General features: G+C 51.8%; 1 protein-coding gene across 23 annotated transcripts in view, besides 3 other annotated features; it reads left to right on the forward strand.

Moving 5' to 3' along the window:
* Positions 6,073-6,573: an enhancer, noted in NCBI's record as "H3K4me1 hESC enhancer chr15:85426972-85427472 (GRCh37/hg19 assembly coordinates)". NCBI's record gives its function as "activates a minimal SCP1, AML or CMV promoter by ChIP-STARR-seq in naive H9 embryonic stem cells {active_cell/tissue: H9 hESC(naive)}" and the evidence as "EXISTENCE:reporter gene assay evidence [ECO:0000049][PMID:30033119]".
* Positions 6,574-7,074: an enhancer, noted in NCBI's record as "H3K4me1 hESC enhancer chr15:85427473-85427973 (GRCh37/hg19 assembly coordinates)". NCBI's record gives its function as "activates a minimal SCP1, AML or CMV promoter by ChIP-STARR-seq in naive H9 embryonic stem cells {active_cell/tissue: H9 hESC(naive)}" and the evidence as "EXISTENCE:reporter gene assay evidence [ECO:0000049][PMID:30033119]".
* The window catches only part of SLC28A1 (solute carrier family 28 member 1), a 90,988-nt gene continuing 81,859 nt past the window's right edge, over positions 6,994-16,122 (forward strand). For 15 of the 23 annotated variants that reach the window (XR_931945.3, NM_001321722.2, NM_001321721.2 and 12 more), the window contains exons 1-5: positions 6,994-7,083; positions 9,004-9,119; positions 10,077-10,188; positions 11,104-11,192; positions 12,775-12,866. Coding sequence is in view for 22 of the 23 variants with exons in the window: in NM_001321722.2 (NP_001308651.1) it covers positions 10,093-10,188; positions 11,104-11,192; positions 12,775-12,866 (277 nt within the window). In the remaining variant the exon portion in view is untranslated. Of the gene's footprint in view, positions 7,084-9,003; positions 9,120-9,717; positions 9,919-10,076; positions 10,189-11,103; positions 11,193-12,774; positions 12,867-16,122 lie in introns of those variants that run through there. The other 8 variants (XM_011522206.4, NM_001287762.2, NM_001287761.2 and 5 more) reach the window with 6 other exon arrangements.
* Positions 12,009-12,577: an enhancer, noted in NCBI's record as "H3K27ac-H3K4me1 hESC enhancer chr15:85432908-85433476 (GRCh37/hg19 assembly coordinates)". NCBI's record gives its function as "activates a minimal SCP1, AML or CMV promoter by ChIP-STARR-seq in primed H9 embryonic stem cells {active_cell/tissue: H9 hESC(primed)}" and the evidence as "EXISTENCE:reporter gene assay evidence [ECO:0000049][PMID:30033119]".

Raw genomic sequence — 16,122 nt, forward strand, 5'->3', positions numbered from 1 at the left:
TTGAGGCCAGCCTGGACAACATAGTGAAACCCTGTCTTTGCAAAAAATAAGTTAGCCAGGTGTGGTGGCGTGTGACTGTAGTTCCAGCTACTTGAGAGGCTGAGGCAGGAGGATCACTTGGGCCCAGGAGATTCAGGCTGCAATGAGCCATAATCACGCCACTGCACTCCAGCCTGGGCAACAGTAAATGAATACATGATAGATAGATAGATAGATAGATAGATAGATAGATAGATAGATAGATAGATAGATAGATAGAAGATAAGTAAATTAATAAAAATAGTACCTATATTGATATTTTAAGATCTATCATCTATGTATCTATTATCTATTTTATGTATAGAAGTTGCTACCAGAGGCCAGGCACAGTGGCTCATGCCTGTAATCCCAGCACTTTGGGAGGTTAAGGCAGGAGGATCACGAGGTCAGGAGTTCGAGACCAGCGTGGCCAGCATGGGGAAACAGTCTCTACCAAAAATACAAAAAATTAGCTGGGTATGGTGGCACGTGCCTGTAGTCCCAGCTACTCGGGAGGCTGAGGCAGGAGAATTGCTTGAACTCAGCAGGCGGAGGTTGCAGTGAGCCAAGATCGCACCACTGCACTCCAGCCTGGGTGACAGAGTGACACTCCGTCTCAAAAAAGAAAAAAAAAAAAAAAAAAGAAGTTGCTACCAGAAGTGGAAAAACAAGAATGACTTGTTTGTAATTGGTGGGATTTGAGGGACAACGGGGTTGGCCTCTGGCTTCCTGGGCTCTGGTCTCCCCAAGCCTGTCTAGTGGTGAGCTTCTGTTCAACTTCCTTTGCTGGTCCATTATTTGGACCTTTCTTAAAATGGAAAGGCCAGCAGAGCGACTCCAACCACCTCCTTCTGCTTCAGGAGCTGCCTTAGTGGATTGGGTCCCTCTCAACCAAGGCAAATCTGAGCTGCGTTGTTAAGTTTCAGTGGCGGATGCAAGATGTCTGGAATTCAGTGGGATGGCAGTGTCTGTCTTGAAGAGGCTCTTGGTGTTTGGGCTGGAGCTACCTCTGGACAGGAGGCGCCCCCTACTGACACCCAGAGGCCCTGGAAACTCACTTCCCATGAGGCACTGTCTGATCTCAGAACTGATGGGGTTCAGAGATGGCCCTTTCTCATTATTTCCAAAGGGCCTCAGGGGACACAGCACACACAAGGGTGAAGGACCCTCAACCTGGAATTTGAGACACATTCCTCATGGTAGAGTTTCAACAGGACATGACCACATGGATTTCTGGGCTGAGGTAGTGTCCAGTCAACCGCTCTGGCCACTGGACTTTTTTTTTTTTTTACGAGATTGAGTTTCGCTTTGTCACCCAGGCTGGAGTGCACTGGCACAATCTCGGCTCACTGCAACCTCCACTTCCAGGGTTCAAGCAACTCTCCTGCCTCAGCCTCCCGAGTACCTGGGATTACAGGCATGTGCCACAATGCCTGGCTAATTATTGTATGTTTAGTAGAGACAGGGTTTCGCCATGTCGGCCAGGCTGGTCTTGAACTCCTAACCTGAAGTGATCCTCCCACCTCAGCCTCCCAAAGTGCTAGGATGACAGGCGTAAGCCACCGTGCTCGGCCTGGCCACTGGCTTTTGAGTGGTTGGAGTAGTTCATCCAGGCCCAGCTTGGGACACTTTCCCGTGGAGTCCAGCCAGCTGACAGTTCTAACCAAATTAAATACTCTGGTTTCACACTAAACTGCCTTGGTTCCACCAAACCCCTGATAAAGATTCTCATCGGAATGAAGCTGTGGACAAAGCCAGGGTCCTCCCTAAGACTCACCCACTTTAAGGCAGGCAGAATGCCTATGGGGGAGAAGCCCTGCCTGGTCATGGGCCCATGCCTGCAGTGGTCCACAGGAGCCTGCACCTGGCTTCCAGCCAACAGAAGCAATCTATTCCTACCTGTAGTGGATGCTGCTGGTGCCCTGCCCAGATGCCCTTTACCGCGGGGAACCCATCCCCCAGGCGCTGTTAGTTGGTAGCAACTCACAGCTGCCCCTTCTCTGAAGCATGCTGGGGTCGCTCAGAGAATAAGAATCAACTGCTCCAAAAACATACATTTTGAAGCATTGTCCTGAGCCAAATGGAAGCCACCTCACCCGGGAGGCAATCCCCACTTCCACTCTTAATCCTTGCCCCCATCCTTGGCCCATGACTAGCACTGCTACGAAAGGCTGTCCTTGCTTCACCTCAAAGTGGAACTAACTCCATGGGAGAGTTTGGGCTCTAGGGTGTCTCTGTGGGATCAGACTAAAGCCAAGCCCCAGCCGAGACCACACTGCTGCTTCTTCCCTTGGCCCTATTCTGCCTCCCTTATCCCCTTCTCCCAAGAACACTCCCCCAATAAATCACTTGAACAGAATCCCCATCTCAGGCTAAGGAATCTGCATAAGATCCATCAGGCATCCTGCTGTGTTGGCTCTCGCTGACAGAGAAATTTCACTGGGACTCTTCTTTTCTTCGCTTTCTTTCTCTTTTTCTTTCCCTCTCTCTCTCTCTTTCTTTCCTTTCTTTCCTCTCTTTCTCTCTCTCTCTCTCTCTCTGTCTTCTTTTTTTCAGGATCTTGCTGTATTGCCCAGGTTGGAGTGCAGTGGTGTTATCATGGCTTACTGCAGCCTCGAACTCCTGGGCTCAAGCAATTCTCCCACCTCAGCCTCCCAAGTAGCCAGGACCACAGGCATGTGCTACCATGCTGGTGGCTCATCTTTTCTTTCCTTTCTTTTTCTTTTCTTTCTTTCTTTCTTTTTTTTTTTTTTTTTTTGGAAATAGAGCCTCGCTCTGTCACCCAGGCTGCAGTACAGTGGCATGATCTTGGTTCACGATAACCTGTGCCTCCTGGGCTCAAGCAATTCTCCTGCCTTAGCCTCCCGAGTAGCTGGGACTACGGGCATGCACCATCATGCCCACCTAATTTTTATATTTTTAGTAGAGACTGGGTTTCACCATGTTGATCAGGCTGGTCTCGAACTCCTGACCTCAAGTGATCTGCCCGCCTCAGCCTCCCAAAGTGCTGGGATTACAGGCGTGAGCCACTGTATGAGGGCTCATCTTTTCTATCATGGCAAAATGTATATCCTTGGAGCAGTTGGATTCTTATTCAGGATATGGGGCTGACTGCCCAGTAAATCAATCCTTGCAGAATTCACACTGGGTCTTACCCAGGAAGTCATTCAGAGACACCATAACCCTGATGACACAGAGTCTGGCCAGAGAACACAGTCCCCAGCAGTAGAGTCCAAGCGGGGGTCCAGAATCCATCCTGCCTGTCAGGCAGCCGATGAGATGGTCACATGGGGCAGACACCTCAAGAGCTAGCTCAGATCTTCCAAATACTAGCACGCAGCGCGGTGGCCCCTGGCTTTACCTCAGGTTGGCCAGCTTCTCAATAGTTGCTCCCTTTCTGGTACTGGCTGCCCCGTCATACTCCCCCATGGAGGACAGGTAGGGGAAACAGTGGCCAATGCCTACCTCACTGGGTTATTGTGAGGGTTCCTTGAGATAGTGCATGTAAGGCTCTTATCACAGAGCCTGGCATCTGCCAAGCTCTTAAGTGTGCCAGCTGGTACCATTGTTGTCACCATCTCCTGGAACTACAGGATCCATCTCAGGGCCCCTCACACACTGCTCTTCCCCTCCAACCTGGGAGCTCCAGTGCCTCTCCGTTTCCTGAGGTTGGGGTGGTTAAAAAAGCTCTCTGCCCAAGCCCCTGAGTACTACCTTTCCAGCTCTCATCCCTGTGGGGACCAGCACTGCCCTGGGGAAGGAGACTGATGGGAACCAACAGGAAATGCTACAGCTGAGGCTCCCGGCCCATGAGCTGGCCAGTATTGAGCTTCTGTGATGGGTCAGGTCTCCACGGCCACAGAACTGAGGGAATTGGACGCAGCCCTTGGAATCAGGAACCTTGCTTCTACAGGTGTAGTGAAATGGAAAGGAGTGTTTCCAAGTGAGTCATGGCGTCTGATTGGCAGGCCCATCCAGGAACAACAGTGAGAGTACCAGTGAGAGTAGAGTGAAAGACACAGCCACGCCTTTGACTCCATGGCAGGACACTAGTGGTGGAATTCCACCTGGGGGGTAGGGGACGAGATATGCTTGGAGAGTTTCAATGTCTGAATATGGGACGTGACATTCACAGGTGTCCGTTTTTGTTCTACCTAACAATTGTATTTAATTTGTGGTGCCCTACTTGTCAGCACTTCTCTATGGACCCTGCTGGTCTTTGGTAGATTTGTTTTCCTGGCTCCTGCCAGGAGGCCTTAAGTCCTCTTCATGATTACTCCTGTAAAAATATCTGGCTTCGCCCTAAGTCTCAGTGAGGGCCACATCAGACCACTTCTATGACAGGGGGAGAAGATGGAACAATCAAGGAATTATTTTTGTCTGTATAGCGAATCGGCTTATCAACTGTGACTTGATCAATAAGGCAATGGAGATCCAAATTAATAGTCTCCACAGCCCCTGCCAATAGCTGGAGGAAGTGTACTTTAGAAGGAAGATATAGCCTTTAGTATAAAACCTATAATAGACAGGGACATCACCCCTGAACCCAATAGCATAACATGAATTAAGACCCTTGGTTTGCAGAACATCTTGATCTGGATCAAACTGAAAAGGAACTATCTCAATTTCTCACTATATGAAAAGCTGATATGAGGCTGGGCACAGTGGCTCACACTTGTAATCCCAGCACTTTGGGAGACCGGGGCAGGAGGATCACTTGAGCCCAGGAGTTCTAGACCTGGGCAACATGGTAAGACCCTGTCTCTACAAAATAGGTAAATAAATAAATATTAGAACAACCAGGATGAAATTTTTTAAAAAAGAAAAAAAAATTAGCTGGCGTATGGTGCACATCTGTAGTCCCAACTACTCTGGAGGCTGAGGTGGGAGGATTGGTGGGAGGTCGAGGCTGTAGTGAGCTGAGATTGCGCCACTGCACGCCAGCCAGGGAGACAGAGTGAGACCCTGTCTCAAAAAAATAAATGAATAAATAAAATGCTAATATGAGCTGGAGAGGCAAGAGGAATAGAAGGTAAAAAGAACAACAAGGGAAATACACTTTTTAAGTACAATCAATTAAATATTAAATATTTGGGAACAGTGAGCTCTGAACTGCTTGGGTAAAATTCGCCCTGCCTGGTGGCCTTAAGCACTCCTGCAGGTGGGACCCGGCATCCTAATTCTACCAGGCCTCTTGTTGCTGCCGTAGATGAGCCCCAGACTCGGCCTTCCATTTTGTATTGGATGATGACCACATGTGCCCAGATGTTCTCAGTGAGTAGAGTGGGTCAAGGAGTAAACTATATCGGAAACCGTTGGATAATCATGCCAAGCAGGCTGGGGGCTTCCAGCCTTTGGGGTACTGGAATGCTTTCTTCCCCTGGGACCAGCTGAACTAGCTCTGTAGTTGCCGGGAGAGCAGTGTGCTCTAACACTTGGGCTAGTCCGTTCCCACAGGAAAACTAGAAGAGTCACAAGCAAAGAGTATAAAAGCCCAAGATATTTCTTTAGTCTTTGTATTTAGCTCTATGTCATCAATTTTTTTTTTTACAGGGTCTCACTCCTGTCGCCCAGGCTGGAGTGCAGTGGTGTGATTATGGTTCACTGCAGCCTTGACTTCCCAGGCTTAAATGATCCTCCCACCTCAGCCTCCTGAGTAGCTGGGATTACAGGTGCACGCCACCACACCTGTCTAATTTTTTCTATTTTTTGTAGAGACAGGGTCTCCCTGTGTTGCCCAGGCTGGTCTTGAAGTCCTGGGCTCAAGCGATCTACCTGCCTTGGCCTCCCAAAGTGCTAGGATTATTGCTACTTTCCAATATTTCTACTACAGACTACGGGAAGTCCATTTTTCAATGCCAAATGCAGAAGAAAAAGTTGTATGGATGCCCTTTCTGCCAATCATCCCAGGTTTAGGAGAGAAGAATGATGAGGTCATGTTCATGGAACTTGACGAGTGATAAGCCTCTTTATTTGTCCAGTGCTTGGATACACGAATCGATGCAATGAAAGAGACCTCGCCTGTGAAGAGCTAAGAAATGAGTGTGGGCAGAATCATGAGAAGAAAATAAAGAGATTGCTGAGCAACTCTTCTGACAGTTCTTGTGCTTTTTGAATGTTTCACTCACTACTTATAAAATAACCTATTATGTCAGAGCCTGGCGAGAAGGGATCCTCTCCAACTCTTTGACTAATAATTCCCTAAAACAGGAGGTGGCCTGCAGAAGAACTAAAACCAGAAAAGTTAGGTGGTTGCCTCTGAGGAATGGGATAGAGTTGGAGGGGTGGAGCAGCCCCTTTACTGTCAACCCTTCTGAGCTCTGCTGGATGGTGAGGGAAATTATCTATGTATATTTATGTGGTCCTCTCCCCACTCTGCCCTGGCCTGGCTCAGCTCTAGGTCTCACTCAGCGGGCGTCTGCGGGTGTGCCGGGCCTCAGAGGCTGTCTCCTTAGGAAACAGGCCACCAAGAAGCCCAAGGACATGCTGAGGTCCCACAGCTGGAGGGGCACAGCCGGGACACCTGAGGTCCTCCAGCTGTTGGTCTTTCCCTGGGGTCTCCACCCCAATCTATCCAGCCTCCCAACTCCCCAGCCTGTGGCTTTTTGCCACATTCCACCTGAAAAGACCGCTTGGCTTCTGGGGTCTGGGATCCCTGCTGGCCATGCCTCCTTGAGAGGAGGAGCAGGGGAGAAGCCCGGAGTCTCCTGGCCTGGAGGAGGGGAGCAGTGTGTCAGGACACCCCGGATGGGACCTGTGACAGCAATGACACCTGCCAGCCTGATGCCGCTTGACTCCCTGCCAGGTACTTCCTAAGCAGGAGCACGCTGACTCCTCATGTGCTCTATTACCCACCACCAGATGAGGCAGCAAGTTAACTTTGGCAGTCAGGAGTGGAGACCTTTGGGCTCCAAGCTCAAGGTCCACCCCAAGACACACAGCCCATTAAATCCTTGTTGTAGAGATTAGGGCCCACAACGATGTGAAGGTTATAAGCTGCACTGCATGGTTGCTGCTGGATGTGTTGTGTTCCTGGCTTCCCTCTGGATGCTGACAGAAACAAGGGTGAGAGAAAAGGACAGTAGGAGAGGAGGGAAGGCGGGACTGAAGAAAGGAGGGGAAGGGGGTAGCACAGGGCAAAGTGGAAAAGCAGGTAGCGTCCTTTTTTTCTTCACTAGGGCTTGGCGAAGACCCCTTCGAGGACAGCTCCAGGCCCATCCCTGTGGTGGCCACCCATGGAGACAGTAGTGCTGCTCAGAGGCATTTAGTTTTTGTTTCTTTTCTGTTTTTGAGGTAGAGTCTCGCTCTGTTGCCGAGGCTGGAGTGCAGTGGTGTGATCTCTGCTCACTGCAGCCTCCACCTCTCGGGTTCAAGCAATTCTCCTGCCTCAGCCTCCCGAGTAGCTGGGACTACAGGCACCTGCCACCATGCCTGGCTAATTTTTGTATTTTTAGTAGAGACGGGGTTTCACCATGTTGGCCAGGCTGGTCTCGAACTCCTGGCTTCAAGTGATCTGCCCACCTTGGCCTCCCAAAGTGCTGGGAGTGCAGGCATGAGCCACCGTGCCCCCCCTCTTTTTTTTTTTTAAAGGTAGAGTCTTGCTCTGTGGCTAGTTTTCAATCAAGGTAACACATGGGCTCTCAACAGTGTGCGGAACTCTGCTAGAAAAATCAAATTATGAGAACACTGTTACTGTGTGATCCCCTATTGGAAAATGAATAACATAAAATAACATACATTTAGGAAAAAAAAAGTGGAGAAAAGGCCAGGCGCGGTGGCTCATGCCTGTAATCCCAGCACTTTGGGAGGCCAAGGTGGGTGGACCACCTGAGGTTGGAAGTTCGAGACCAGCCTGACCAACATGGAGAAACCCCATCTCTACTAAAAATACAAAATTAGCCAGGTGTGGTGGCGCATGCCTGTAATCACAGCTACTTGGGAGGCTGAGGCAGGAGAATCGCTTGAACTTGGGAGGCGGAGGTTGCAGTGAACCGAGCTCGCACCACTGTACTCCAGCCTGGGCAACAAGAGTGAAACTCCGTCTCAAAAAAAAAAAAAAAAAGGAGGAAAATGCCACACAAACTCAATAGTGGTCATCCCTGAGGGCTCAGATTCCGGGGACTTTAACTTCCCTCATTCTGTATATTTCTCTAATGTTTAAATGTTTAATGATACACTTGTAATGCTTTGGTAATTCAAATGACAGATGAAGAAAAAATGTTTTCAAAAAGAGGGGGTGTCCATCCACCATCCTCTCCAAACTTCCAAAACAACCAGGAGGTGCCGGTACTAGCAAGTATTTATGCATCATAGAGGATTTTGTCCTGAGCGCGTACCATTAATTATTAAAGAGATGTTGTGAATCCCGTCAGATGAGTTTAATGTTTAGTGTGAGGACTGGAAAACTAAAGCATTCAGCCCTTCGCTTTGCACACCGTTGGCTTAGGTATTCATTTAACAAAGATGAAATGAAGGGGAAATGGTGTGATTTGGTTTTGTTTTCTTGACAGACCTGAAACACTTTTACTATTTCTCACAGCTACACTGCTTTCCTCATTTTCCAGCACAGGAAAATTGGTTGCTGTTATAATAAATCCCCATCTAGTGAGAAAGGGAGATAGAGAAAGATGCAAAATGAAAGATAAAATGCAAAAAGCTAACAGCCTGGCTGGGGAAAGGAGGCCATGGGAAGGAAGGAGGGGGAGGGAAATAATCACATAGGTGGCTTCCTGGAAGAAGCGGCCCTAATAGGCCTGGAAGAGGTCAGTTTGGGAACTGGGGAGAGGGCAGAGGAGGGCATCTCTGATGGAGAAGCAGCAGCCAGTGGGCAGGAGCTGCAGGGAGCCAGGTTGCAAGTGGGCCTGCTTCCTGTATCCCTGAGACCGTGTTGGGGTCCCCACCCTGGCTGTGGCCCTGGCCTCTGGGGAGGCGCTGGGCAGAACTGGGTGGCAGGCCCAACCTACTCCGACCCTGGACTCTGCCCAGGAATTTCTGCTGAAGTGACAAGGCAAGCCAGAGCCAAAGCAGGTTGGACCCAGCTTGTCCCCACAGAGACGTGTGCTTCCCTCTCTCTCTGAGAGCGACCTGTTAACCGCAAATACGTGAGTAGAAACAGGGCCCCGCTTCTGTGTGCGCTGCTGTGCGTCTGTGTGTGAGCCAGGGCATTCCCAGGCTCTGCCTGTGTGTGTGCACGCACATGCACGGGTCTCTGAGTATGTCAGCCTAACTGGGCTGGCATTTGGATGGAGTAGGGCACCACCCAAGGGGAGAAAAAGGAGCGGGAACAAGAGAAGGGAGAGAGGAGGTGTTAGTTACCACTCTTATTTACAGATGAGCTTAAGCCTACGAACTGAGCTTCAGCAAAAAATGAACTATATTGATTCTTGCAATGGAAAGTCCAGGAGTAGGATTGGTTTCAGGTATAGTTGGATCCAGGAACTGGAATGATGCCTTTAAGGATGTTGCACCTCCATCTTTCAGAGATGGAAAAGTAGAATACACTGAAGATCTCACTTAATGGTAATAGTTTTAACCAGTTGTAGGGAGTGATGAAAGCTAGGTCCTCTCTTCAGAAAAATGCCTGTATCAGATACATATGCAGGCTGTATATAATTCTTTACTTTCCTTCCCTATGAAGTGGGCAGAATTTGCTGTTTCTGCCTGGAACTCCCAGAGTTCACAAGGACTTGCCTCTTACAGGTTCAGATGTGGGTGCAGGCTGGGGTGGTGGCGCACGCCTGTAATCCCAACACTTTGGGAGGCTGAGGTGGGAGGACTGCTTGAGCCCAGGAGTTGGAGGCCAGCCTGTGCAACACAGGGAGACCCAGTCTCTAGAAAAAGGAAGAGGTACCTCCTCCATGTGCTGAGAAGTCAAGGTTGCAGTCCCAGTCACAAGGAGGGGTGAGCTCTGGGATGGCATAGGTGGCCCCCAGGCAGGGCTCTGGCTGTGCCAGGCATCTGCTCCCCCCACTCAGTCCTCTCCCCTTTCCCCGGGCCCCTAAACTGGGCCCTGCCCGGCCTCCCTTTCAGCGTTGGGCGCTCCCTGATTTGTCTTTCAGCTGGAAGGTCTGGGACATGGAGAACGACCCCTCGAGACGAAGAGAGTCCATCTCTCTCACACCTGTGGCCAAGGGTCTGGAGAACATGGGGGCTGATTTCTTGGAAAGCCTGGTCTGTACCCTTCCCCATCAGTCATCCTGACCCCTCAGCCTCTTTGGCTTGAGCCCGGCTGCCGAGGTGATGAGGCTTTTGCTCACCACCTTCCCTCATACCCCATTCTTCTGCCCCCTTCTCACCTCTTTGCTGGCACAGTTATGAACCTCCCAGTGTGTTGGCCTCCTCAACACAAGGCAGACCCCTTTATTTCACTCATTAAACATTGACTGAGCACGTACTGTGTGCACTATAGTCTGAAAGTCCTAGTCTGAAAGGGCAGGGCAGGCCCCAGTGAGGAAGTGACATTAGAGCTGTGACCTACAGAATGAGAATCAAAACCAGATGATGGGGGAGGGGGGTCTCTAAGGAAATCTCAGCCTTCAAGGAGCCTTGTCCTTGCTTTCAAGTGGCCAGGTCAGGTCGAGGCACACCACCCAGAACTCGGAGCCTGGTAGGATACCCTGCACGCTCCCAGGCTCCTCTGACAAAGCCCCCTCCCCTTCACTGCCCTTGTCTCTTGGGGTGCTCCTTTCACGCTGTCATATGCAAGAATACCCACCCCCCACCCAAAACAGCTCCACAGACGGTGGGTGCATGGTGCCCTGAGGTCATGTGATGAGGTAGCCCTGCCTGGGGCCTCCCTTACAGGCCTCCCCTCGGCCCCTCTCAGTCACAGCTGGGCCGCAGGTGTCTGTCCCTGCGCAGACCATGAGCTCGCTGAGGGCAAGATGTGTCTGGCAGAGCCCTGCACACAGTAGGTGCTCAGTGCCTGCCTTGCAGAATCCAGTTTAGTAGCCTTCTAATTCCTCCCTGTGCCCCAGCCCAGTCCCCTCCTCAGCCAGGGTCTCACCGTGGCCCCCGACCCCCAGCTGTAAGTTCCTGGGGGTGGGTAAGGGGCAGGCCGACCTGACGGCTCCCTGCGGGCTGTAGGAGGAAGGCCAGCTCCCTAGGAGTGACTTGAGCCCCGCAGAGATCAGGAGCAGCTGGAGCGAGGCGGCGCCGAAGCCCTTCTCCAGATGGTAGGTGATCTCTGGAGAGACAAGGGCGGGCCTGGGGTGGAGGCTGCTTGGGAACAGGATGGGGAGCCGGGCCTCCTGGCGGATGGGAGTTGGGGGGACGTGAACCTTTGTTGAAGGGAGGAATAAAGGCGCTTTAGCCAACACGCACAGGCACATGAGCCTCGAGGGTGAGCCAAGTCACAGGCTCCCCACCTGCTTTTGAACAGCTGAAACGAAATCCCATCAGGAACCCCAGTATGTACCGTGGGGCCTGCCCTGAACCAGCCAGGCCTCCCTCTCAACCTCCCCCTTCTGCCTTCTACCCCCATTCAGTCTCTGGGGTACCTCGGGGAGTCTGAAGACTCCGGTTAAAAATCCTGAACTGGGCAAGGTCCCTGATTTTACACAGGGAGGTAGAAGCCCAGAGAGGGGAAGGGACCAGCCAGGATGGCATAGGCAGCGAGTGTCTGAGGTGAGCATAGAACTCCACCTCCTGATGCCTGGGCCATCTGGGTCCTTGTTGGCCAGATCCGGAGCTGAGGACACCGTGATGGGCAGGGGGTGGTGGTGGGGGAGGGATTCCGTCTCTCTGCCTGGGCAGGGGATATGGGAAGAATGCCTCCTCCACCCTCTCAGGAGGAGGTGGGAGGTGGGGACTGAGAGGAGGTGAGGCTCCTTAAAATGGCAGCTGGTGGGTGGATTCCAATTAGCATTGAGTGGGCGTCTACTCAATGTGTGTCCCATGGGCAGGTGGATGAACGACAGGGGAGGGGAGGCAGCCATCCATGTTTTTCTTTTCTTTTCTTTTCCTTTTTCTTTTCTTTCCTTCCTTCCTTCTTTCCTTCCTTCCTTCTTTCCTTCCTTCCTTCTTTCCTTCCTTCCTTCCTTCCTTCCTTCCTTCCTTCCTTCCTTCCTTCCTTCCTTCCTTTTCTTTCTCTCTTCCTTCCTTCTTTCTTTTCTTTTTTCTTTCTTTCTCTTTCTTTCTTGCTTGCTTGCTTTCTCTTCCTTCCTTCCTTTCTCTCTTTTTTTTTTTTTAGGCAGGTCTCACTCTGTTGCCTGGGCTGGAGTGCAGTGGCACGAACCCTTCCTGGGCTCAAGAGATTCTCCTGCCTCAGCTTCTTGAGCAGCTGGGATTACAGGCGCACGCCACCATGCCTGGCTAATTTTTGTGTTTTTGGTAGAGAAGGGGTTTGTCATGTTGCCCAGGCTAGTCTTGAACTCCTGGGCTCAAGTGATCCACGCTCCTGGGCCTCCCAAAGTGCTGGGATTACTGGTGTGAGCCACCGCGCCCCCCCACCGGCCACATTTCTGTATGTTGATGAGGTTCTGCCTTTTCAGTGAACTTCCTCCTGAGCCCTGGAGGCAGGGACTATCACTGGGGTAGTGGGGCCTGTGGGTGCTGCCACAGAGGCAGGAAGGCCTGAACCATTTCTACATTTGCCCTGGGCTGGGGTTGCCCTGCAGCCCTGTGGGGATGTCAAGGCAAGCCCTGGCTTGCCCCTGTTGCCACTTTACTGGGGACATACCTGAGTGGAGGTGCTGAGGATCTCCCCCAGATGGGGTCTGCTCATGCACTCATGGACCCTGCTGGTCTTGTTCCCAGGAGGAACCTGCAGCCAGCCCTGAGAGCCAGAAGCTTCTGCAGGGAGCACATGCAGCTGTTTCGATGGATCGGCACAGGCCTGCTCTGCACTGGTGAGCCTGGGGCCCAGCACTACCCAGGACACAATGACTCCTGCCTCAGCTATCCATGTCTCAGGGCAGGGTCATTCACTCACCCAGTCATTCAACAAATGGTTGTTGAGCACCAACTCAGGTCCAGCTCCCTTGCTGGGTACTGAGGCATCTGTTAAGCCAGGCCAGATCTTGTTCCCAAGGCACTCCCTCATCAGTAAGGGAGGCGGAAGAAATAGTCCCACATAATGCAGCATGTCATCTGGGAACACCAAGGAGGAATGGGGGATGATCAGGGAGGACTTCCAGGAGGAGGTGACATTGGAGTCTCACAGGCTAAGTAGGAGTTAGCCAGGTGGAGGTGATAGATACTAAGGAGGGCAAAGGCACTCCACACAGAGGAGTCACAGGAGCAAAGGTGAAAACTGGCAGGGTGTGGGTTTCGATAAAGTTCGACGTCTGCACTGTAAGGTCTGGAGGGTAAAGTTCTAGACAAGGAGTGTCAGGGGATGGGGCTGGAGAGATAGGAAAGGGCCCAGGATGGGGAGTGGGTAGGGATATGGGAGGATGCTCAAGGACTTGGATTTTACCCTCAAGGCCAGAGAGAGCCACTGAAGGTTTTGAACAGGGAAGCGTCAAGGTGGAATTCACACGGTGGGACCCTGGAAGGAGGGCAGGAAAGAGGGGGAGATGGAGACATTGAGGACTGCAATGCCTGTGTGAGAATGAAGCTGTGGAAGGTGGGCGGGGGCAATGGGAGAGGTCCTTGGGAAGCAATGCTAGCTGTACTTGGCAATGACTGGGTGTGCAGCATGAAGGAAACCCTGAATTAGGGCTGCCCCAGGGGCCTGCTCGGGTGATAGGAGGATGATGGTGTCTTCCACAGAGCTAGAGAACATGCGTGCAGAGGGAGTCTTGGCAGGAAGGGGGATAATTAGGATAGTTTGTTGGAGGTACCACTGCCAGGCCATCTGAGGGAGAGAGGAGGCTCCCCAGGCACACTTGGAGAATGAATTGAGAAGTGGGTCAAGGACAGAAGCCTGGAGACCAGCCACACAGAAGGGGTTGGCGGCAGCCAAAGGAGCAAGGGTTTCAAGGAGGGAAAGATCAGCAGCATCTCTGCAAGACCCGCAGGACAAAAACTGAGCCATGTCCACCGATTTAGGGACAAGGAGGCCACTGGTGACTTAGGGTGTAGGTGCAAAAACTGAATTGGAGCGGATGGCAGATGAGGCTGTGCAGACAGCAAGTGTAAATGGCTTTTTGGATCAATTTTTATGAGATCAGGCGGGGAGGCTGAATGGGCAGGGTGTGACCCAGTGTCAAGGATGGGCATGAGTTTGGGGTGGGAGACACTTTGTTTGTACGAGCTGAGGTGGGGAGTTTGTAGAAGGAATATGAAGGAATGGGAGATGAAGAGATGTCCGATGGAGCAAGGTCCCCTGGCACGGAGTAGAAAAGCTCCCCACCCCACCGGGAGGGGTGGGTCTTTGCAGGAGCAAGCTCACCTCATTCTGACAGGTTGGAATTAAAGAGGGGCCAGGCATGGCAGGTGGTTCATGCCTGTAATCCCAGCACTTTGGGAGGATGTAGTGGGAGGCTGTAGTGGGAGGATTGTTTGAGCCCAGGAGTTTGAGACCAGCCTGGGCCACACAGCAAGACCCCACCTCTACAAAAAATTTTAAAAATAAAAATAAATTTTAAAAAAAGAAAAAGGAGGATGGGTACAGATGCAGAGTCATTATAGGTGCTCTGGAGGGGAGGGGCAGTGAGAGAGGCGACAGCAATGACCTGGTCTGCTTGGTGAACTTGAAAGTAGGGTCATCTGCTGAGATGGGGTGGGTCCATGTCCCTCACAGCTTCCTTCTAGAGATGGTGATGTCCACCTTTGGCAGGGTCTGAAGCCAGGGCCATCTCTGTTTCCTTGGCTGCCTCCTTCACTCAGATCTGATTTGTTTCTCTTGAAGAACAATTGAATTCTCTCCAGTAGAGAATGAAAATTACCCCACTCATCCTATTTCCATGTTTGCCATGGCTGTCAGGAATGCAATCTGAATCATTGAATGATCCCTTGCAATGGTCAGCAGTGACTTTCTCTGTTTCTGGGTGACTTTGATTTCTCTGGCTTTTCAATATCTTTATTACATCACCTCTTTCCTGGGGAGGCTGTTCACAGACGTTCTGGGAATAGCTGTGATAGAGAAATGAGGCTCATATTCTCAGGACTTGGCTCCTGAGCTGCGACAGTGGCTTGCTTGCCTTAGGTAGGCCTTCTCCATGGGTGCAGCGACAGCGCTGGCACCATCAGACTAACAAGGATGGCCTTGGTGTCCCCAGTCTTAGAAGAAGGAGGTGCCTCTTGCCCGCTCTCCCAGCCAAAGCCCAGGGAGGTCTTCAAGGAGCTTAGCTCAGGTCCTGCCCGTCCCCAAACCAATCCCTGTGAATGGATCCTAGATGAATAAAATACTTCCAAAAGCACTTCTGTCCTTGTGCCCCTCCTGGAGGACCCCTCCACACTGCCCCCTCTCCCTGAGTCCCCATCCTGGCCTGCCCAGACCCCCCCAGCCTTCCTGGCCCGCCCCGACCACAAAGCACAGGCCCTGAGGCGCACAGACCTTCTTGGCCTCCTAGCCCCATGCCCTCCCTGTGTGAGGCACTCATCTCGGCTGGCCTCAGAGGCCTCCCTCTCCAAGTGGGCATCACTGTAGACCCCACCTTGTAGGGGTCTTGTGAGGATTCATTGTGAAAATGCATCTGAAGTGCCAAGCTCACCTCCTGGCGACCACGGAGCCTCTCCCTGGCCAGGTCCCCCTCCCCTGAACCCCCATGGCCGGTGCCAGCAGCCCCAGCACCGCTCTGTGGGGCTCCACCCGTGTGTCTCAATGACACCCGTTCAGGTAGGAACTCCAGCCCACAAGCTTCCATGTGAGAGAAAGGTCATTTTATTTTTTATAACTCAACTTATCTTCTCCCTCAATGTTATCATTCCAGTGAGTGACGGGAACTCAATTTCTGTCCATTTGGAACCTCCCTTCATCCCTTCCTCTGGGGGTCACCGGGGGGGCTTATCTATCATTACTCCTCAAGTGTCTCCTGACCTGTCCACTTCTCCAGCTGGTCCTGGGTCCTCTATCCTTGCAGGTGGCCATGGCGACCCCCTCTTCTCCATGGTGGGCTCATTCTGGTCTCCCGCCTCTCTTCTCTTCAGGCCTCTCGTGGAGACTAGTTCCGCTGTTTTGGTGCCTGCAGAGCCTCACTGGCTTTCTAGGGCCCTGCT

The sequence above is a fragment of the Homo sapiens genome, chromosome 15 (genome assembly GCF_000001405.40).
Source record: "Homo sapiens chromosome 15, GRCh38.p14 Primary Assembly".
Classification (NCBI taxonomy): domain Eukaryota; kingdom Metazoa; phylum Chordata; class Mammalia; order Primates; family Hominidae; genus Homo; species Homo sapiens.